This window comes from Homo sapiens, chromosome X (assembly GCF_000001405.40).
Source record: "Homo sapiens chromosome X, GRCh38.p14 Primary Assembly".
Lineage (NCBI taxonomy): Eukaryota > Metazoa > Chordata > Mammalia > Primates > Hominidae > Homo > Homo sapiens.
In genome coordinates this window covers 119,305,357-119,328,767 of record NC_000023.11, presented here as the reverse complement: position 1 = coordinate 119,328,767, position 23,411 = coordinate 119,305,357, and the positions used below count along the sequence as shown (strand labels likewise).

At 41.8% G+C, this 23,411-nt stretch overlaps 1 long non-coding RNA gene across 1 annotated transcript in view, besides 1 other annotated feature; it reads right to left on the bottom strand.

The window, feature by feature from the left end:
* Positions 1 to 23,411, bottom strand: part of LINC03098 (long intergenic non-protein coding RNA 3098) — a 44,082-nt gene that overhangs the window by 6,843 nt on the left and 13,828 nt on the right. Inside the window, exons 2-3 of the long non-coding RNA NR_110396.1 lie at positions 3,745 to 3,863; positions 2,451 to 2,586 (exon numbers count right to left, since the gene is read on the bottom strand). This is a non-coding gene — a long non-coding RNA (long intergenic non-protein coding RNA 3098). The remainder of the gene's footprint in view (positions 1 to 2,450; positions 2,587 to 3,744; positions 3,864 to 23,411) is intronic.
* Positions 9,169 to 9,670: an enhancer, noted in NCBI's record as "H3K27ac hESC enhancer chrX:118453061-118453562 (GRCh37/hg19 assembly coordinates)". NCBI's record gives its function as "activates a minimal SCP1, AML or CMV promoter by ChIP-STARR-seq in naive H9 embryonic stem cells {active_cell/tissue: H9 hESC(naive)}" and the evidence as "EXISTENCE:reporter gene assay evidence [ECO:0000049][PMID:30033119]".

Here is a 23,411-nt window from a genome sequence, read left to right as displayed (position 1 = left end):
CTGAGGCACCAGGATGTTAAGTAACACACCCAAAGATACACAATAGCTCCAATGTCATCTCGCTGTTCCTCCTTTACCAGTCATTTTCTTCTAGTATACATATCACAAAGTACAGGGTTAGGCCCACATCCCTCCCTGAGCCATTCATCTGGCGGCTACTCTTCTCTGCTGTTCCATGGACCAACACTCAATTTTCCACTGATCTCCTCCAGAAATCCAGCACTCAAGTCCCCTTCTAAGAAGGATAAACAGACACTGGTGAGTGAATGAGGGGACACCATACATTCCTATACTGTCCTCTCATTTATACTTCCCAACATCACCACCAGGGTTGTACAGATTTTGCAGAAGGCCTGTGAATAACTGAAAGGAATTTCAAGTATGGGGACTTTTAAAAAATAATCTACTGCCCATGTCCATGTCTGTAGACCAAGAGAAAATCACCAGAGAGGCCCATCACAGAGAGAACCCTCATGCCCTTCTTCCTTGAATTCAGCTTCACTTTTTTCCTCTTCTTTCAACCCATCAAATGAAGCTCCACCCACTACCTACTCACAGGGCTTGGTCTTGCCCCAGGTCCCACCTCTATCTTCCCTAGAAGCCCACTGGCCCACATCTTAGTTATTCAGCCTGGCATATGGCTCTGAGCCTTCCAAATGGACAGGTTAGGGTAGGCTCTGGCATTCCAGGTGTCATCGCTTTCCAAAGGTCCCCATCAGTAGGGGTCACAGAGAGATAAATGCTTTTTTGTTTTTCCTGATATCCCGTGGGTGATGGTTGGATGAAACACATACGCACGTCTATCTCTTCAGGCTAAACAACAGATTCTCAGAGAGAATGCCGTCTAAATCCAAATGGAAGAAAAGAAACCTTCTCCCAACTTTCCCAGCTCACAGGGGCGATGGTGCCTCACATGATTATGCAGAGCAGTGCCCCTTTCTCTTCTCATTTTCAAGGAATGAGAAATAGACTCAGAATGGAATAATAATCACTAAGATTTAGTAAACATTTACTGTAGGTGAGGTTGTGGATGGTCCCATGTAAGCCTCATAACAGTCCCGTGATGTTACAGGGAGTATAACTATCATCTCAGAGATGAGGAAACTGAGGCACTGTATATCATAAAGGCCACACAGCTGGTAAGTGGGGCAGCAGGGATTTACACTTGGCAGCCAAGTGTCCAGAGCCTGTGTACTTTCTGTAACACCATACAGCTTCCTTATAGTTCAAACTGTAAGTGGTAGAGGTGAGATTTGAAGCCAGATCATTTGACTCAGGACCCTGAGCTCCCAGCACCTTAAGCCTCCTGCAAGGGCAGCTACTTACATACACAAAGAACTGGCTTTGGGATGATTGAATGGTATTGCTTTAAGTTGCCAGATGAGGCCCTTCCCTCTCACTGTTCTGTCAGCAGAAAAAAGGCAATGTAAATGTTTATGCTCTTCTAGTACAAGCAAACCCCTAGGGATCTTTTCATGATGGACACACTTTTGAAATCATCTAGATTTAGAGCAGATGAAAGACTGCTGGGGTTTCTGTTGTTTGGCTTGGTTTGGTTTCAGCATTTCTTCCTGCGGCTCTAAGCAGAGGATCTGGAATTTGTCTTGGGTCAAACCTGCCCTTTCTCTGGGACAGACCACTTCATTGAGGCCTCTTAGTAAGTTACCTATCTGCCAGTGTTCCTCGATGGTGGTGGAAAAGGGGAAGGCAGATGCTGTAGACTGGGGTTTTATGTATTCTATTAAAAAACGGTAAAGGTGGTCTTCACTGGGTTTTGCTTCAGCTGGCTCAATCTGGGAATGAGGTACAAAGAACACAGTGTTTGGCCAAGGCAGAGGGATGTGAAGGCCCCTCTCAGTAGAGGTTGGCCATCTATTTGGGGGTGACTTGATCAGCCTAAGAAAGAGCAGGATTGGACATGTCCCCTCCTGCCTTTCACTTCCTCCCTGCTAAATGGGGTGAGGTAAGATCAGTACTGGAGGTAGTGTCTTGCTCCAAAATTTCCCGTATTGTGTCTTTTGGGTTTCTTATTGTGCAACATTGGATCCTATGGGTATAAAGTACACAGTGAGGTGCTGGGTGGAGTTGAGGCCAGCTGAGTCTAGTGAGGAATGGTGAAAGATGAGGTGGGTATACATGAAAAAGGGGAAGCTGGAGGCAAAGGTGACAGGGTTCATAATCTCCAGATATGTAACTGGGCCCTGGGAGTGGTCCTTGGGTATGTAATAGCAGCAGGTGGAGCAGACACTGTAGTAGGAGAACTTGATGAAATATTTGGAAAATGCAGATGTCCCTTTGGCCTTCCTGGGGGAATCTAGAATGCTTCCAGTTAGCCACAAGACTCTTATTGTTCAATCCCCATATGCCTGCTGGGTACAATTGTTCACTGTACAAGGGAATCTGGTTGAGAGGATCAGTAAGGATTGAAATCCAGCCTTCGCTGTACTCACCAATTCATGCAACCTGGTGCAGAGGTGTGCATCTGGAGAGCCTTTTTCAAATTTGCACGCAGTCACCTCATGGCCTATGGGCAGCCATGACCCTCACATCCAGTACAGTGTCTGGTGCATAATAGATAATTGACATCTGTTGACCGAAAGCAAAAGATGGTGATGCAGCTGGTTGGTATGAGAAAGAAAGCTGCAATGACTATGAAAAAGGGTCCTCTAATAGATGGGTGCAGAGTATGGTAAGCAAATTTAGCATTTGGGAGGTGTGTGTCCCAGTTATCTTATTTGTTGAAGGTGAATGACAACCAGAAGTCTCCTCCAAAATCTATCTGGCTGTTGTTCAGTTTGATTGTTGTGGGCAATGGACAAGTGGATTTGGACATGGTGGATCAGAAGTGTGCTCTATAGAAACTTTGCACAAATTGGGCTCCCCAGTCAGATGTTACAGGGTAGGCTGTCTTAGAGGTGGAACAATTATGTCTCTGAAGAATAAGGTAGAGATAACTGGGGCAGAAAGTGGTCCAGCTGAAGAGAGAAAGTGGGTTGTTCTCATGAAGGTGTTGACTTCAATGATTATTATGCTATGACCACAGTTGGCAGAGAGTTGGTGAGGAATGTAAGGAACGTCTCCTAGGAATGCTTGGTGATTGAGGGAGGATGGGGTAGCTCTGTTGAGCTTCTTTAGCCTTTTTTGTTTTCCTGTGGCCAAAAACATGCCTCAGTGTAGTACAGGATGTTGAGTAAGTCAAGGTGCTTCATGCTGTGTGTTTCAAAAGAGCATTGGTAACGAGCTACAATAGCATCGTAGCACAGACTTAGGACCTACATATAGGGCTTTGCTGTCAGGTATGAACAGGCAGTTCTGCCTATGTAGTGGGTCTCCCTTCACTATGCTTCTCTGGAGACCCCACCTTGAGATGAGCCTGGATCTCTTCCTGGTGCTGCTGGACACGGGTTAGGGAATCATAGGGAAAGAAAGTGGTACTTGAACATTTTCCAACAAGTCACTTTGCAGCATGTCTTCCTTGTGCTGGGAACAATCACTTGGAAATGCTCTCTGGGTAAATCTGAGGCAGGTAGGTAATTATTGCTTTGGGCTAAGGGTGTAACAAGATCTTTTGTGGTTTGACAAAGACTGCCTCTCCGCAAATTCCTTGGTTTGTTGAGCTGGTTGCTGGGGAGGAAGTATGTAAATTTGCATAGGGGCCAGGGAGCCTCCTTGGAAGAAAGGGATTATGAAACCCCGTCTCTACTAAAAATACAAAAAAAATCAGCCAGGTGTGGTGGTGCATACCTGTAATCCCAGCTACTCGGGAGGCTGAGGCAGGAGAATCGCTTGAACCCAGGAGGCGGAGGTTGTGGTGAGCGAAGACCGTGCCATTGCACTGTAGCCTGGGCAACAAGAGTGAAACTCTGTCTCAAAAAAAAAAAAAAGAAAAGAAATCCTATACGTTTCTCATATAAAAAAGTATTTTAGCTCAAATTTTACTTCTTCAGAGAGGCCTTCCCTGATCACTCAAGTTATTATCACTTTATTTTGTTTTATAATTTTCATTGCACTTAATATTTGTACCTATCTTTTTGGGGAAACAATTTACTTGTCTATTGTATACCTTTGCCCACTAGAATATGAGTTCCTTGAGGGCAGGAATATTCTCCGCCTTGTCTATCCTGTATCCCTGTGCTTCGAATCATGCCTGGTACAATAATAATGTTCTATAAGTATTTGCTGAAGGAATGAATGACTGAATGGAATAGCTATGTGGGAGGTTACAAAATTAAAAGTACAAAGATTCTTCCTGCTCTTACCCTCAGTCTTACTAATCAGAGTATCATTTGATACCTTTGAGCTTCTTTTGACCATTTCTGGGATTTTTTTTTCTGTTGGTTATTTCCATAATTCTTAATAAGATGCTTTTACTTTGAAATCTTGATTTATTTCCTTTAAGCAGTATTGACTTTCCTCTTTTTTGTTAGCTCCTCAATTGTTTACCATTAACACTTTGCATAATGTACTTAAGCTTCCATTTACACTTACTTCTTGAGGCTTACTGTGTCAAATGAAGAAATTACTCCCCACTCCTCCTGGTTATTTGAGTACTTTAACATTGTTAAAGTTTAAACCATTTTCATATTTACATTCCATTCTATAACTATATTTGTCTTTCATACTTTTTCTATAGGTTGATTCTGAAAGCCAATAAACATCACTTACAAAATTATAATTTTGTAAATGTTATTAGTTGCAGAAAACAGAATGTGTGATTTGATCACTGGAGGAGATGTAATCCTGTATCCCTATACCTAGGCCACTTGAAGGGAAATAGTACAAATTTCCAGTTCAAATGGTTTTTCTTTTCTTACACTCCAATTGCTGAGTTATGCCACATTTTAGATTGTTTGATATATGGATCATGACTTTTTGGGAAAGTTTTCCTTTCTTAAAATTTCTAATTATTTTTTGGCAGAAGATATAGGTGCCTTTGTCACCATATTACTGATACCTTCCAATTGTTCACATAGACGACTTGTTAAATGCTCTAACATATACCCACTCTTTCTATGCCTCACTCCTTCACAGCTACCATTTTAGGATTTTTTTTTTCATTGCATTCCTGGGTTATCATCTCTGTTTCTTACATCCTAGGTCTTTCTCTTTCTTGGATCTCTTTTTTTTTTTATTGTTAGAATACATCCTCAAGTAATTTTTTTCAGAGAAGAGGGCTAGGGGTAAAATTTCTGAGTTCTCTCATGCCTAAACATGTCTTTTTATTTTTATTCTTATATTTGACTAATATAGAATTCTAGGTTCAAGGTCATTTTCCCTCAAAATTCACAGGTATTATTGTCAGGCCTCTGAGCCCAAGCCAAGCCATCGCATCCCCTGTGACTTGCACGTATACGCCCAGATGGCCTGAAGTAACTGAAGAATCACAAAAGAAGTGAAAAGGCCCTGCCCCGCTTTAACTGATGACATTCCACCATTGTGATTTGTTCCTGCCCCATCTTAACTGAGTGATTAACCCTGTGAATTTCCTTCTCCTGGCTCAGAAGCTCCCCCACTGAGCACCTTGTGACCCCCGCCCCTGCCCACCAGAGAACAACCCCCTTTGACTAATTTTCCATTACCTTCCCAAATCCTGTAAAACGGCCCCACCCCTATCTCCCTTTGCTGACTCTCTTTTCGGACTCAGCCTGCCTGCACCCAGGTGAAATAAACAGCCATGTTGCTCACACAAAGCCTATTTGGTGGTCTCTTCACACAGACTCGAGTGAAATTTGGTGCCGTGACTCGGATCAGGGGACCTCCCTTGGGAGATCAATCCCCTGTTCTCCTGCTCTTTTCTCCATGAGAAAGATCCACCTACGACCTCAGGTCCTCAGACCGACCAGCCCAAGAAACATCTCACCAATTTCAAATCTGGTAAGCGGCCTCTTTTTACTCTCTTCTCCAGCTTCCCTCACTATCCCTCAACCTCTTTCTCCTTTCAATCTTGGTGCCACCCTTCAATCTCTCCCTTCTCTTAATTTCAATTCCTTTCATTTTCTGGTAGAGACAAAGGAGACACGTTTTATCCGTGGACCCAAAACTCCGGCGCCGGTCATGGACTGGGAAGGCAGCCTTCCCTAGGTGTTTAATCATTGCAGGGACGCCTCTCTGATTATTCACCCATGTTTCAAAGGTGTCAGACCACACAGGGATGCCTGCCTTGGTCCTTCACCCTTAGTGGCAAGTCCTGCTTTTCTGGGGAAGGGGCAAGTACCCCAACCCCTTCTCTCTGTGTCTCTACCCCTTCTCTGCTTTTCTGGGGGAGGGGCAAGTACCCCTCAACCCCTTCTCCTTCACCCTTAGCAGCAAGTCCCGCTTTTCTAGGGGGCAAGAACCCCCAATCCCTTATTTCCACACCCCAACCTCTTATCTCTGTGCCCCAATCCCTTATTTCTGCACCCCAACCTCTTATCTCTGTGCCCCAATCCCTTATTTCCATGCCCCAACCACCCTTCCCGCTTTTCTGGAGGGTAAGAACCCCTGAACCCCTTCCCTCCGTGTCTCTATGCTCTCTTTTCTCTGGGTTTGCCTCCTTCACTATGGGCAACCTTCCACCTTCCATTCCTCCTTCTTCTCCCTTAGCCTATATTCTTAAGAACTTAAAACCTCTTCAACTCTCACCTGACCTAAAATCTAAGCATCTTATTTTCTTCTGCAATGTCGCTTGACCCCAATACAAACTCGAGTAGTTCCAAATAGCCGGAAAATGGCACTTTCAATTTTTCCATCCTACAAGATCTAAATAATTCTTATTGTAAGATGGGCAAATGGTCTGAGGTGCCTGACATCCAGGCATTCTTTTACACATCAGTCCCTTCCTAGTCTCTGTGCCCAGTGCAACTCGTCCCAAATCTTCCTTCTTTCCCTCCCACCTGTCCCCTCAGTCCCAACCCCAAGCGTCGCTGAGTCTCTCTAATCTTCCTTTTCTACAGACCCATCTGACCTCTCCCCTCCTCGCCAGGCCAAGCTAGGTTCCAATTCTTCCTCAGCCTCCGCTCCTCCACCCTGTAATCTTTTTATCATCTCCCCTCCTCACACCTGGTCCGGCTTACAGTTTCGTTCTGTGACTAGGCCTCCCCCACCTGCCCAGCAATTTACTCTTAAAAAGGTGGCTGGAGCCAAAGGCATAGTCAAGGTTAATGCTCCTTTTTCTTTATCCCAAATCAGAAGCGTTTAGGCTCTTTTTCATCAAATATAAAAACCCAGCCCAGTTCATGGCTCGTTCGGCAGCAACCCTGAGACCCTTTACAGCCCTAGACCCTAAAAGGTCAAAAGGCCATCTTATTCTCAATATACATTTTATTACCCAATCTGCTCCCGACATTAAATAAAACTCCAAAAATTGGAATCTGGCCCTCAAACCCCACAAGAGGACTTAATTAACCTCACCTTCAAGGTGTACAATAATAAAAAAAAAGTTGCAATTCCTTGCCTCCACTGTGAGACAAACCCCAGCCACATCTCCAGCACACAAGAACTTCTAAACGCCTGAACCGCAGCAGCCAGGCGTTCCTCCAGAAACTCCTCCCCCAGGAGCTTGCTACAAGTGCCAGAAATCTGACCACCAAGCCAAGGAATGCCTGCAGCCCAGGATTCCTCCTAAGCCATGTCCCATCTGTGCGGGACCCCACTGGAAATCGGACTGTTCAACTCACCTGGCAGCCACTCCCAGAGCCCCTGGAACTCTGGCCCAAGGCTCTCTGACTGACTCCTTCTCGGCTTAGCAGCTGAAGACTGACGCTGCCCGATCACCTCAAAAGCCCTGTAGACCATCACAGACGCCGAGCTTCGAGTAACTCTCACAGTGGAAGGTAAGTCCGTCCCCTTAATCAATATGGATGCTACTCACTCCACATTACCTTCTTTTCAAGGGCCTGTTTCCCTTGCCTCCATAACTGTTGTTAGGTATTCACCGCCAGGCTTCTAAACCTCTTAAAACTCCCCAACTCTGGTGCCAACTTAGACAATACTCTTTTAAGCACTCCTTTTAGTTATCCCCACCTGCCCAGTTCCCTTATTAGGCCGAGACACTTTAAATTATCTGCTTCCCTGACTATTCCTGGATTACAGCTACATCTCATTGCTGCCCTTCTTCCCAATCCAAAGCCTCCTTTGCGTCCTCCTCTTGTATCCCCCACCTTAACCCACAAGTATAAGATACCTCTACTCCTTCCTTGGCGACCGATCATGCACCCCTTAACATCTCATTAAAACCTAATCACTCTTACCCCGATCAATGCCAATATCCCATCCCACAGCATGCTTTGAAAGGATTAAAGCCTGTTATCACTCGTCTGCTACAGCATGGCCTTTTAAAGCCTATAAACTCTCCTTACAATTCCCCCATTTTACCTCTCCTAAAACCAGACAAGCCTTACAAGTTAGTTCAGAATCTGCGCCTTATCAACCAAATTGTTTTGCCTATCCACCCCTTGGTGCCAAACCCATATACTCTCCTATCCTCAATACCTTCCTCTACTACCCATTATTCTGTTCTGGATCTCAGACATGCTTTCTTTACTATTCCTTTGCACCCTTCATCCCAGCCTCTCTTTGCCTTCACTTAGACTGACCCTGACACCCATTAGGCTCAGCAAATTACCTGGGCTGTACTGCCGCAAGGCTTCACAGACAGCCCCCATTACTTCAATCAAGCCCAAATTTCATCCTCATCTGTTACCTATCTCGGCATAATTCTCATAAAAACACACGTGCTCTCCCTGCTGATCGTGTCCGATTAATCTCCCAAACCTCAATCCCTTACAAAAGAACAACTCCTTTCCTTCCTAGGCATGGTTAGTGCAGTCAGAATTCTTACACAGGAGCCAGGACCACACCCTGTAGCCTTTCTGTCCAAACAACTTGACCTTACTGTTTTAGCCTAGCCCGCATGTCTGCATGTAGCGGCTGCCGCTGCTTTAATACTGTTAGAGGCCCTAAAAATCACAAACTATGCTCACCTCACTCTCTACATGTCTCATAACTTCCAAAATCTATTTTCTTCCTCATACCTGACGCATATACTTTCTGCTCCCCGGCTCCTTCAGCTGTACTCACTCTTTAAGTCCCACAATTACCATTGTTCCTGGCCTGGACTTCAATCTGGCCTCCCACATTATTCCTGATACCACACCTGACCCCCATGACTGTATCTCTCTGATCCACCTGATATTCACCCCATTTCCCCATATTTCCTTCTTTCCTGTTCCTCACCCTGATCACGCTTGATTTATTGATGGCAGTTCCATCAGGCCTAATCGCCACACACCAGCAAAGGCAGGCTATGCTATATAGTACAAGCCACTAGCCCGCCTCTCAGAACCTCTCATTTCCTTTCCATCGTGGAAATCTATCCTCAAGGAAATAACTTCTCAGTGTTCCATGTGCTATTCTACTACTCCTCAGGGATTATTCAGGCCCCCTCCCTTCCCTACACATCAAGCTCCAGGATTTGCCCCCACCCAGGACTGGCAAATTAGCTTTACTCAACATGTCCCGAGTCAGGAAACTAAAATACCTCTTAGTCTAAATAGACACTTTCACTGAATAAGTAAAGGCCTTTCCTACAGGGTCTGAGAAGGCCACCATAGTCATTTCTTCCCTTCTGTCAGACATAATTCCTCAGTTTAGCCTTCCCACCTCAATACAGTCTGATAACAGCTGAGCCTTTATTAGTCAAATCAGCCAAGCAGTTTTTCAGGCTCTTAGTATTCAGTGAAACCTTTATATCCCTTACGGTCCTCTGTCTTCAAGAAAAGTAGAACGGACTAAAGGTCTTTTAAAAACACACCTCACCAAGCTCAGCCACCAACTTAAAAAGGACTGGACAATACTTTTACCATTTTAGCTTCTCAGAATTCAGGCCTGTCCTCAGAATGCTACAAGGTACAGCCCATTTAAGCTCCTGTATAGACGCTCCTTTTTATTAGGCCCCAGTCTCATTCCAGACACCAGACCAACTTAGACTGTGCCCCCAAAAAACTTGTCATCCCTACTATCTTCTGTCTAGTCATACTCCTATTCACCGTTCTCAACTACTCATACATGCCCTGCTCTTGTTTACACTGCCGGTTTACACTGCTTTTCCAAGCCATCACAGCTGATATCTCCTGGTGCTATCCCCAAACTGCCACTCTAAACTCTTGAAGTAAATAAATAATCTTTGCTGGCGGGACTATGCTGAATCTCCTTAGGCACTCTCTAATCAGATGTCCTAGGTCCTCCCAATTCTTAGACCTTTTATACCTGTTTTTCTCCTTCTCTTATTCCATTTAGTTTCTCAATTCATCTAAAACTGTATCCAGGCCATCACCAATCATTCTATACGACAAATGTTTCTTCTAACATCCCCACAATATCACCCCTTACCACAGGACCTCCCTTCAGCTTAATCTCTCCCACTCTAGGTTCCCACGCCGCCCCTAATCCCGCTTGAAGCAGCCCTGAGAAACATCGCCCATTCTCTCTCCATACCAAGCCCCAAAAGTTTTCACCGCCCCAACACTTCAACACTATTTTGTTTTATTTTTATTATTAATATAAGAAGGCAGGAATGTCAGGCCTCTGAGCCCAAGCCAAGCCATCGCATCCCCTGTGACTTGCACATATACGCCCAGATGGCCTGAAGTAACTGAAGAATCACAAAAGAAGTGAAAAGGCCCTGCCCCGCCTTAACTGATGACATTCCACCATTGTGATTTGTTCCTGCCCCATCTTAACTGAGTGATTAACCCTGTGAATTTCCTTCTCCTGGCTCAGAAACTCCCCCACTAAGCACCTTGTGACCCCCGCCCCTGCCCACCAGAGAACAACCCCCTTTGACTGTAATTTTCCATTACCTTCCCAAATCCTATAAAACGGCCCCACCCCTATCTCCCTTTCTCCCTTTCCTGACTCTCTTTTCGGACTCAGCCCGCCTGCGCCCAGGTGAAATCAACAGCCATGTTGCTCACACAAAGCCTGTTTGGTGGTCTCTTCGCACGGACACGAGTGAAAATTATTTTGTTTGTTTTGCTTTGCTTTGTTTACATCTATTGCTGCTAATGAAGATTTCCATTTCTTTGTACATCATTTTTTCCCTTTTTCTAGAAGCCTTAAGTATCATCCCTTTATTCTTGATATTTTAGAGTTTCATGAGGCTGTGTTTAGGTGTGAGGCTTTTTCTTTCATCCTAATTCCCACTCAGTGATCTTTCAAACTGAGATCTTTCTTCAGTTATGAGACATTTTTTTCTGTTTTTAAAATTACCTCTTTCCCTCTCTTGTTTTTGCTTTCTTTCTGGAATTTCATATGAATGGATGTTAGGCCTCCTACATGGATATTTTATATATTTTTAAGCTTTTCTCTCAAATTTTGCTGTTATTGAGGCTGGATCCAGACACACTAGCATGGAAGGCATGCTTTGGAAAGGAAGACTCAAGGTGTGGTTTTAAACACTGGAAGCTAAAGCCTGAGTTATGTGAACCCCAAATATCTGAGACAGGTCTCGGTTAATTTAGAAATTTTATTTTGCCAAGGTTGAGGACATGTACCCATGACACAGCCTCAGGAGGTCCTGATGACATGTGCCCAAGGTGGTCAGAGTGCAGTTTGGTTTTATACATTTTAGGGAGGCATGAGACATCAATCATCATATGTAGGATGAACATTGGTTTGGTCCAGAAAGCGGGGACAACAACTCGAAGAAAAAGTGGGACAACTTGAAGTGGTGAGGGGGCTTCCAGATCCTAGGTAGATAAGAGACAAATGGTTGCATTCTTTTGAGTTTCTGATGAGCCTCTCCAAAGGAGGGAATCAGATATGCATTCATCTCGGTGAGCAGAAGGGTGACTTTGAATAGAATGGGAGGTAGGTTTGCCCTAAGCAGTTCCCAGCTTGACTTCTCCCTTTAGCTTAGTGATTTTGGGGTCCCAAGATTTATTTCCTTTCACATTCCCCCCCTTTTCTTTTTAAAAATCTTTTGGAGAAAGCATTTCAGAAGAAAATGAGTCTCTGGTCTCAGGTTTCGTCTGATCTCTTATGGCTCGGTTGGTTTATTTCTAGATGGTTAGGTCCTGAATTATTAGGAAAGTTCATTTTTAGCAGGTTGTGAAGTTTCACATCCTAGGAAGTGAAAATAGGGAGAAAAACAACAACAGGCTGGGTGTGGTAGCTCACGCCTGTAATACCAGCACTTTGGGAGGCCGAGGCGGGCAGATCATCTGAGGTCAGGAGTTCAACACCAGCCTGGACAACATGGTGAAACCCTGTCTCTATTAAAAACACAAAAAATTAGCCGGGCATTAGTAATTACGACAACTAACTAGTAACTAGTAGTCCTAGTTACTCAGGAGGCTGAGGCAGGAGAATTGCTTGAACCCAGGAGCAGAGGCAGCAGTGAGCTGAGATTGCGCCACTGCACTCCAGTCTGGGCGGCAGAGTGAAACTCCGTCTCAAAAAAACAAAAAACAAACAAACAACAACAACAAACAAAAGAACAATCCTGGAAAATTGGTATAAGCCATATTACTCTGAAGTCCATAATCAGTAGGCAGGTTTGAAAGTGGTTTATGTATGTAAATGGGTTGCTGTTATTTTCTTCTAAAGTTTAAGTTGTCTGACTTCAGTTCACAGGGCTTTATGAAAGCACGCTTAGTTTTCAATGACTCCTAATTAGGAAAAATGGGGGAAAAAAGAAGGAAAAAAATTGAAAACATTATCTTGAAGACTTGTAACCAAGAAAAAATAGAATTTGGTCCAGACTGTAGAAAATAATAAAAACTGAAAAGGCCGGGCGCGGTGGCTCATGCCTGTAATCCCAGCATTTTGGGAAGCCGAGGCGGGCAGATCATGAGGTCAGGAGATCGAGACCATCCTGTCTAACACGGTGAAACCCCGTCTCTACTAAAAATACAAAAAATTAGCTGGGCGTGGTGGTGGGTGCCTGTAGTCCCAGGTACTCAGGAGGCTAAGGCAGGAGAATGGCGTGAATCCAGGAGGCAGAGCTTGCAGTGAGCCGAGATCGCACCACTGCACTCCAGCCTGGGCAACAGAGCAAGACTCCATCTAAAAAAAAAAAAAAAAAAAAAAAAAAACAACTGAAAAACATTAGGCAAGACTGGAATCTAACAACAGGTGTATTATAGTTTTTGAAACATAATTTTTCTCTCTCCAGTTTTCCATCTTTACTAAAGACAAATCATGGAAGGACTGATTTGCTTTATTATACTTGGCCTGATTATTTGTATACAGTGCAGCAAGAATTATTATTTTTTACATAGGCTTTTAAATTGGCATTGATGGAACTTTGTTCCATAGAAAGAATCTCAGATAAGACTTTTTTAAAGCCAAGCCCAGCCATAGATTTGTACCATCAAATATCTATGAGTTGGGGCCAGGCACAGTGGCTGATGCCTGTAATCCCAGCAATTTGGGGGGGGTCAATGCAGGTGGATCACTTGAGGTCAGGAGTTCGAGACCAGCCTGGCCAACATGGTGAAATCCTGTCTCTACAAAATACAAAAAAATTTAGCAGGGTGTTGTGGCACATGCCTGTAATTCCAGCTACTTGGGAAGCTGAGACAGGTGAATCAGTTGGACCTGGGAAGCAGAGGTTGCAGTGAGCTGAGATCACACCACTGTACTCCAGCCTGGGCAACAGATCGAGATTATGCCAAAAAACAAACAAACAAAAAAACCACTCTATGAATTGGGTGAATTCCTCCCCTCTTGAGGTTCCAAGATAAACTTAGGGCTCCTGCACCTGTCAGAAAGTGGCATTCTTTACTTACCACATGTCAGGAACCCTGTACAGGGACTGTGTAGACAAGGTATAAGGCCAGTTTTCCCATGGGACTTTTATTGGCTCCATAAGTCAAGTTTGATTCCTTAAAGGAAAGCACACCATTCCAGTCAAAGCTTTGGTAAAATAACCAGTTTCTCAAATTGTGTCCTGTTATAAATGAAAACAGATTCTTATTGTACTTATGCATGTCAGTCCATGTAGTTAATTCCTGTTCTGCTTGATATTCATGAACATTTCAGTTCTCCATGAGTCCTGAAAATTTTTCTTTTATTCTGATGTCACAATCTCAAAAATTTTCAGAAACTTGTATTCAAGAGCACCTGTTAGAATTTTATAGCTGATTATAAAACTACCTTCTAAAGAGGACGAAAACAAGACAAAAATTGTCCATGGATGAAAAAAGTTTTAGGGCAGCCATAGTCAAAGACACAATGGACAAGGAAATTTGTTGCCTCTGTGGCACACAATAATTTAAGAAAACAATTATAATTATTACTGATTATGTACAGTAAGTCATATCAGAATTATAGGACTTTCCCATAATTTTGGAACACATACCAATAACATATTTATATAGATACAGCTCAAAGAAAACCAAACACCATTTCACACTTGACAATGTTTCCTGTATGATGTTTATATGAAATAGGCCAAATTATGTCATTTTTGGACTTTGGGGAACCTAATATCTTAAAGGATTAATTAGATCAGAAAAAGACATAATTTATAATTTGATTTTGGAAGGTGTCAAATATCAAAGGTTTAAAACACTTGATATCACAGATCATTGTAAAATAAGCCATTCATTTCACCAAACTGGTAACTCAAGGATTTCAAAAAAAGACAAAATCCTTCATTCTTTGAGAGAGGAGACTTTATTTTCCAAACAATAAGCCCTAATAAAAACAGCATGACGCCAATTAAATTTGTTTTTCAAAATTTTATAAACAATCTATAAAATTTTAATCTTGAGCATAAGATATAACTTCAATAAGCCTTTTATAATCTTTATAACCTTTATTAAGGAGTTGGTTAATGCTTCAAGAAAAACTTATTAATCTGACACAGGGGCCCATATGCTGGTCTTCCATCAGTGTGCCTTCGACATTAATGATTAATTCATAGAGAAACTGAACTTATTTTATCTCTCAACATTGGCCCTTACAATCTCATGCCCACCTCTTCTGCAATAGTCCCTGGCCTTGAGGAGTTAGATAGCTTTAATTTCTGGCCTGTGTCTCAGGAATGCAGTTTATTTTGATTGGCATCTCTACTGGGCCTGAAGATGAGGCTTTAATTGCTGTCAGCGTTTAAGATTTCGGAGGACTTGGTGTCCTTTTTAGATCCAGGAGCCAAAGCCCTGTAACTCTATGTCACAATGACTTTACAAGCCCATACAGAAAGATACATGAATATAATAACCTTAATGAAAAAATTTTTTTTATTTCATTTTTTTCCCTAAGTAAACCAAAACTTAATAATAATAGCATAGGAATTGTTTCAATAAACCATAAAATCTGTTAGGCCAGTTACCAAAAGGCAAAAGAAAAGACCTTCGGCACTGCACAGAATATTATGTTGGAAGAAAGAATTTCCTTTAGACTTTTAAGAAAACATTGTTAGCATCAGGCCACAACAAACAAAACTCAAGGAGAAAAACTTATATGAGTTGAAAAATGAGTTGGAGAGCATTACTATTTCTTGCCCTTTAAAAGGGGAGAGAAAACCAAAAATGGCAAGATGCAATACAAATTGAACTTTGGGTTAAAAAATTAAAATCTCTCATAATTTATTAAGAGTAAATCAATCCCTTAAGAAAATTTCATTATTCTAACCAATTATTTAGTGTGTAAGTGGTTTTTTCTTACATCAAGCCCAATCTCTAGAAAGACCATTATAATTTCCCTTTAATTAATAGACAACTTGATCATATGAAAGTTTTTTTTTTAATAAATCCTCTTTTCTTTTTTTTTTTTTGAGATAGGGTCTTGCTTTGTCGTCCGGGCTGGAGTGCAGTGATGCAATCTTGGCTTACTGCAACCTCTGCCTCCCAGGTTCGAGCAATTCTCCCACCTCGGCCTCCCAAGTAGCTGGGATTACAGGTGCACGAGACCACACCTGGCTAATTTTTGTACTTTTAATATTTTAAATATCTATTATTTAATTTAATATAACTTTAGAGTCTAAATTATGATGAGTTTGTTGTCTACAAGTATTCATCCCATTACGTCTACCTAATTATTTCAATTGTTTACCTAGATTATTTATGAAAACTGCGGCAGTCATCATTTAAAGTTATGGAACCGCCATTGCAAAATTATAACTGAGACAGTTGAAAAGATCTGACCTAACTGACTCCATCTTGCTCCTAACCTCCAAGCTGTCCTTGTTCATTCCTGAGCACAGGCCAAACTAAGTTTGGGAGGAATTCAATTTACAGTTTGACTTTGAGACAAAGATGGTAACAGTCCCTTCTGAAAACAAACCTTACTGCCTGTGGGCTGGACTGCATAAAGCCAGAAGATTAGAAGTTATGGCAATCTTACTAAATTCAAGATGTTGCTATTTTCATTAAACTAATATCAATGTCTTATTTATTAAAGATTACATGACAAAGATCATTCTGTTTTGGGCTAGGTTTATGGTTTTGTAACCCCTATGCCAAATTTTGACACCTTGTAGTATTTGGCAGGGATAAGTATGAAATTGCTTGATTAATAAATGCAAACAAAAATGTATGCTGGCAATTCTTAAGACATTTTTAATATTACTTTACCAATAATTTTAAAGCTAGCTTATTTATTGAAGATTTTACTTAAGTTATGTAAACTTGAAAAAGCATTTGACTAGTCTTTTGTTTTTTCCTGATAAAGTATTTGATTCAAGTGCTTTTATTTTCTTAAGCCAATTAATTAGAGCTCTTGCATATATTTTCAGTAGTGAAACATTGGGTACATAAATACATAGACGTATTAGGCATGCTGATAGAATGTACATCTTATAGAGTCATAAAAACCTTTTATTTTTCCCTATCTTGGGCTTTCAAATTCTTCATAACCTGTTTCACTACCCTAGGCAGTTGTCAGCTAAATAGGCTTAAATTTGCATATTAAAGGAAACAAGTCAGGTGAAAATCAAATAGCAAGATATACATCATAAGGTATGGAGATAAATACTTTGGTGTGCTAGAGGGAAATTAAAACGGATTTAATTGCCAATTAAACATAAAATTATAAAAATTATAAAGGCCTTTAAAATACACACACACACACACACACACACACACACACACACACACACACACACACACACACACAAAGATCCTATCGCTTTTACTTCAGAACCTTAGCCATGAGGTAAATACAAATTCACCAGCTTGCAAAAAAAAACCGTGTTGGATCCAAACAGTGGTTTTTATCTTAATAGAAAAATAACAGCTGATTTGACTGGGGGCCATGTGGGAATGTCTGGGGGATTGACCCCTCGAAACGTTCAGTGGCCCTACAGGGAAATCCCCAACAAAAATTAATTTAAAAAAAAGGCTTATCCAGGAAATACACCCTGGAGTGCCTTTTGGCTGGGAGGATCAAAATGCCCTTTCTCTTCAGAGCTGAGAAAACTCAGTCCCTCATTTATCTATGAAAACAACAGTTCAGTTCCTCACGCAAATGCGCACAGACAAGCTGAATCGAGATTAATTTTGGGAGAAAAAGCAATAGAGAAGGCCCTTTAGAATACATCTCTGAACTAGAATTAAGATCCTTAAATAACAGTTTCCTAGGAGGGAAACAACAACAACAACAGTGAAGACCACTTCCTGTAAACTGTGCTCAGCCACCCCTAATTTTGTAGCTCTCGTCTGCCATTACACATGCCGAGGTCAAGTTCTCTCATAGTACAAGGTTATTTCTGGTACTCCCAAAGCCAAAAAGGTCAGGTCATGCAATACAGGAAAACAGAGCTTTAGACCTAAGAAAAATCTGTCCATGACTCTTGGAACTCCACAAGGAAAACAGAACACTCCAAAAGGGGTGAGTGGTATCTTTGTTCTGATTTCTTGAAAGGGGCTCAAGTCATTGGAAGCCTTCTCTAGATTTTTTGGTACTGCAGATGGCATAGGGGGAAGGAGGTATAGAGTGGAAGAAAAGTAAACGAAAGAACATTTGTTTTTTAAGACAGGAAGCAAACACAAAATCCAAGCGCATGGCTTTTTTTGTTTTTTCCTCTTTTGCAGCTGCGAGGAATTTTTGCCAAACTAGAGAGGCTTTGTTATCCATAATTTGGAATTCTCACTCGGATTTGACCAAGTCAGGTGGAGTTGGTCAAATCTGATGGGAGAAAGACCAGGACAAACAACAACAAAAAACCCCGACAATATGATCACTGAGCACTCTAATGGTAAGGAGAAATTAAAACCAGCTGGTTGTTAACTTACCTAGGAATGGGTCTCAGGTTGAAGACTGCTTTCTACTATCCTTGAAGCAGGAAAAAAACTCAAACTCGTCTTTCTTGTTGGGAGTGAGCTCAAACTCCATAAAGGAGGTACTTGCTTTCCATCGTCATGGAAGCAGGGAATCTTGCCTTCCGTGTTAGAAGCAAGTAAAACTCCAAAAAAAAGGGAGTTGTACAGCAAAATAAACTTTAGATCTCTACCAAATTTAGGGATATCAGGGATTCTCTGGAGGGGGTGCTCCCAGACCTCAGCAAATTGTCCTATTGGTTTGAGCCACAAAGTTGCTCATGCTGGTACCAAGCACCAATATGAGATTTGTCAAAGTTCAGGGGTACCTCCACTCAGAATCCCTTTGTGGTTACCGAAATTTGAACACTGAATATCTGAGATAGGTCTCAGATAATTTAGAAAGTTTACTTTGGCAAGGTTGGGGTCATGTGCCCGTGACACAGCCTCAGGAGGACCTGATGACATGTGCACAAGGTAGTCAGAGCACAGTTTGATTTTATACATTTAGGGAGACATGAGACATCAATCAACATATGTAAGATGAACATTAGTTTGTGGTTTGGTCCAGAAAGGCGGGACAACTTGAAGTGGGGAGGGAGCTTCCAGGTCATAGGTAAATAAGAGACAAACGGTTGCATTCTTGTGAGTTTCTCATTAGCCTCTCCAAAGGAGACAATCAGATATGCATCTCTCTCAGTGAGCAGAGGGGTGACTTTGAATAGAATGGCAGGCAGATTTGCCCTAAGCAGTTCCCAGCTTGACTTTTTCCTTTAGCTTAGTGATTTTGGGGTCCCAAGATTTATTTTCCTTTCACAGGTGCATATGGAGATCTATCAGCAAAGTTGTCACTGAAGTCTTTTCTATACAATTGTACCACGGGGTAGTAAAAAATTTGTTGATGGGGAGTTTCTTTTCATAGGAGTATTCCAGTTAATGGGTGAAGAAAGAATGATAGAATATTGCCATTTTGAGAGACAGGACTAGCTGGATTTCCTAGGCCGACTAAGAATCCCTAAGCCTAGCTGGGAATGTGACTGCATCCACCTTTAAACACGGGGCTTGCAACTTGGCTCACACCCGACCAATCAGATAGTAAAGAGAGCTCGCTAAAATGCTAATTAGGCAAAAACAGGAGGTAAAGAAATAGCCAATCATCTGTTGCCTGAGAGCACAGCGGGAGGGACAAGGATCAGGATATAAACCCAGGCATTTGAGCCTGCAACGGCTACCCTTTTTGGGCCCCCTGCCTTTGTATGGGAGCTCTGTCTTCACTCTATTAAATCTTGCAACTGCACTCTCTTTTGGTCCATGTTTCTTATGGCTACAGCTGAGCTTTCGCTCGCCATCCACCACTGGTGTTTGCCGCCGTTGCAGACCCGCCACTGACTTCCATCCCTCCGGATCCAGCAGGGTGTCCACTGTGCTCCTGATCCAGCAAGGTGCCCATTGCCGCTCCCGATCAGGCTAAAGGCTTGCCATTGTTCCTGCACGGCTAAGTGCCCGGGTTTCATCCTGATGGAGCTGAACACTAGTCACTGGGTTCCATGGTTCTCTTCCATGACCCACGGCTTCTAATAGAGCTATAACACTCACTGCATGGCCCAAGATTCCATTCCTTGGAATCCATGAGGTCAAGAACCCCAGGTCAGAGAACGCGAGGCTTGCCACCATCTTGGGAGCTCTGGGAGCAAGGACCCCCTGGTAACAATTTGACAATTCCTAATGAAATAGTGGACTAGGCAATGGTCATCAATGGCTGCCAGCATCATAAGAAGAGAGACAACCAGATATTATGTACCTCTGATGAAAGTACACAGCACCACTTATGAAGCTGTCTTGCTAAAAAATCAAACCTGAATCTGAACAAGCCCCTAGATCTAACTACCAGTTTACTTGAAATATATTACTAGGATGCAATCAGCAAAATCCATAGACAGTGGGAAACTCTATAGGAAAAATTAACTAGTATCTTTACTAATCAATTCTAATGGGAAAAAAAAAGAAATAGTGGAGGAACCTATAGATGAAAAGAGACTTAAAAGACGTATCAACCAATTGTGATATGTGGATCTTATTTGCATGCTGATATCACCAAAAAATGTATGAAACTCTCAGGAACTTTTTTTGTTTTTGTTTTTGTTTTTGAGACAGGGTCTCACTTGGTCACCCAGGCTGGCACTGGCAATGCTGTGAGCAATATGGGCTCAGATAGCCAACCATTCTGGTTTCCCAGGACTGATGGGGTTCCTGAAACAAGGCTTTTTCTGGAACGTTCCACTCAAAGCAGAATGAGTTGGTAGCTCTAAATGGTAAACGTAGGACCTAAGTACAATAGAACAATTTGAGGGTATGGTGTACAATACCCAAAGAAATTTTCCTTGGCTCCTCAGCCTGAAGACATCTCCGTAAGTATTTTCTGGGGAAGACTCACAGAGGAACAGGGTTAGGACCAGTGGGGTAGGGGTTGAAGTAAGATAAACATTGACATTTCACATATGACAACTTGCCTTCCAACTGAAACTTAAAGTCCTTAGGAATAAGAGCTGGGTTTTGCCTTCTCTTTTATTTCTCATAACCCCTAGCACAGTGTTGAAAAGTCGTTCTTTATACAATGACCACATTTTGCATAGGTAACTCTGTACTCCTTTTCATCTACATACGCACAACAGCTATTGGGAGATGAGTGACTACTTCATTTATGCCTTTCCTTCTGTATTAGTCAGGCAGGGTTCTCTAGAGGGACAGGACTAATAGGATAGATGTATATATGAAGGGGAGTTTATTAGGAGAATTGACTCGCACGATCACGAGGTGAAGTCCCACGATAGGCCGTCTGCAAGCTGAAGAGCAAGGAAGCCAGTCGGAGTCTCAAAATCTTAAAAGTAGTGAAGCCTTCAGTCTGTGGCCAAAGGCCCAAGAGCCCCTGGCAAATCACTGGTATAAGTCCAAGAGCCCAAAAGCTGAAGTCCAAGAGCCCAAAAGCTGAGTCTGATGTTCGAGGGCAGGAAGCATCCAACACGGGAGAAAGATGAAGGCCGGAAGACTCAGCAAGTCTACTCTTCTACCTTCTCCTGCCTGCTTTATTCTAGCCATGCTGGCAGCTGATTAGAAGGCGCCCACCCAGATTAAGAGTGGGTCTGCCTCTCCCTGTTCACTGACTCAAATATTCATCTCCTTTGGCAACACCCTCACAGACACACTCAGGAACAATATTTTGCATGCTTCAATCCAATCAAGTTGACGCTCAGTATTAACCATCACACCCTCCAAATGCAGGGATGATTTAACCATGATGGAGAAATGAGCATCAGATTTACCTTCTTGCTGTAAATAAATATAAATAAAATATATAGAACAAATATTTTTAGACATTAGATAAGTAATAGCCTGCCAGAAAAAAATTCAATGTCCCCCCAAAGCTCAACACTCTTTAAAGGAAGACAAAACATTCCAGAAAGATAAGATATAGTCAATTGTTATTATTCAAATTATTTATTTGCAAATTCACCTACTTGCTACAATTTATTTGTAACCCCAAATCAATTCTCATGGTACTTTCACCAGCTTTCAGGGACACATGGAGAGCAGCAAAAAATTTGAATTGCCTAAAGTGCATGTTCCCAGCTGAGGCCAAACAATGCAATGTTCTGCCTTCTTGCTTCAGTTCTCATACTGTAAAAAAGTGTCATTTCCATGGTCTATTTAGTGTCACATTTTCCACATTTTTATTAGTAATTTCACTATCTTAAACGGTCCCAAAATGTAGTACTGAAGTGATGTTTAGCATTCCTAAGTGCAACAAGGCTGTGATATGCCTAATGGAAAAAAAAATGTGTTATTTAAGTTTTGTTCAAGCATAAATTAAAATACCATTGGCCATGAGTTAAATGTCAATGAATCAACAGTATCTAATATAGAAGATATCTTCAAACAGAAACACATATAACACACGGCTACATATTGATCAGTTGATGAAACTGTTGTGACCAGAGGCTTGTATGAACCTACTGTATTTCCCCTAGGATCAGTGGTTCAGTATTTCTTAACTCAGTGTGTGTGATGACTTTATAGATCCCCAAATAATGAGAATCAATTATAATTCATCCCAAGCTGACTTGCTCTATGAGAAACGTTAAAGGAAATTCTGCAGGCTTGAGGGAAATTATGCCAGCTGGAAATTCAAAGCTACATGTAGAAATGAAAATGGTAAACACTTGAGTAAATATTTAAAAACTTGTTTTTTGAATTTCTTAATGTACTAGAAAAGACAATGGACTATGTAAAGCAAAAAGACTAACAATGTATTATGGGATCTATAAACTATATAGAAGTAAATATGCATAAAAACTATAGTACACTGGAAAAGGGAGGAGTAAAAGGAAATATACTGTTATAAGGTTTTTACATTATATGTGTGAATTGGTACAATATTAATTCAAAGTACACTGTAATAAGTTATTGGCCAAGTGCAGTGGCTCATGCCTGTAATCTCAGAACTTTGGGAGGCCGAGATGCGTGGAGTGCTTGAGCCAGGAGTTAGAGACCAGCCTGGGGAACATGGCAAAACCTCGCATTTACCAATAATGCAAAAATTAGTCTGGCATGGTGGTTCAAACCTGAAGTCCCAGCTACTTGGGAGGCTGAGATGGGAGAATTGCTTGAGCCTAGGAGGCAGAGGTTGCAGTGAGCTGAGATAGCGCTGCTACACTCCAGCCTGCGTGACAGACAGAGACCCTATCTCAAAAAAAAAAAAGTACGCTGTAGTAAGTTATGGATGCATATTGTAATCCCCAGATTAGGACAAGTTGATTGATGGTGTCTTAATGACTATCAACTTGTATTGATTACTGAGAAAGGAGCGTTACTGTCTCCAAATATAATTGTGGATTTGTCTATTCCTCCTTTAAATGCTACCAGTTTTTGCTTCAAATGTTTTGCAGCTTTGTTATCAGGTACATACACTTTAAGAATTCTGTCTTCGTATGAATTAACCCTTTAATTCATAAAATACTACTACTAAAAATAAAAAAATCAAATAAGAAATATGGCTAAAAAGCCAAAATAGACTACTAAAAATATTCAAGTAATGTCAAGGAAGGGAGAAGAGGAGGAAAAAAAGAACAAGGAAAATATGGGACAAATGGAAAAAAAATACCAAGATGGAAG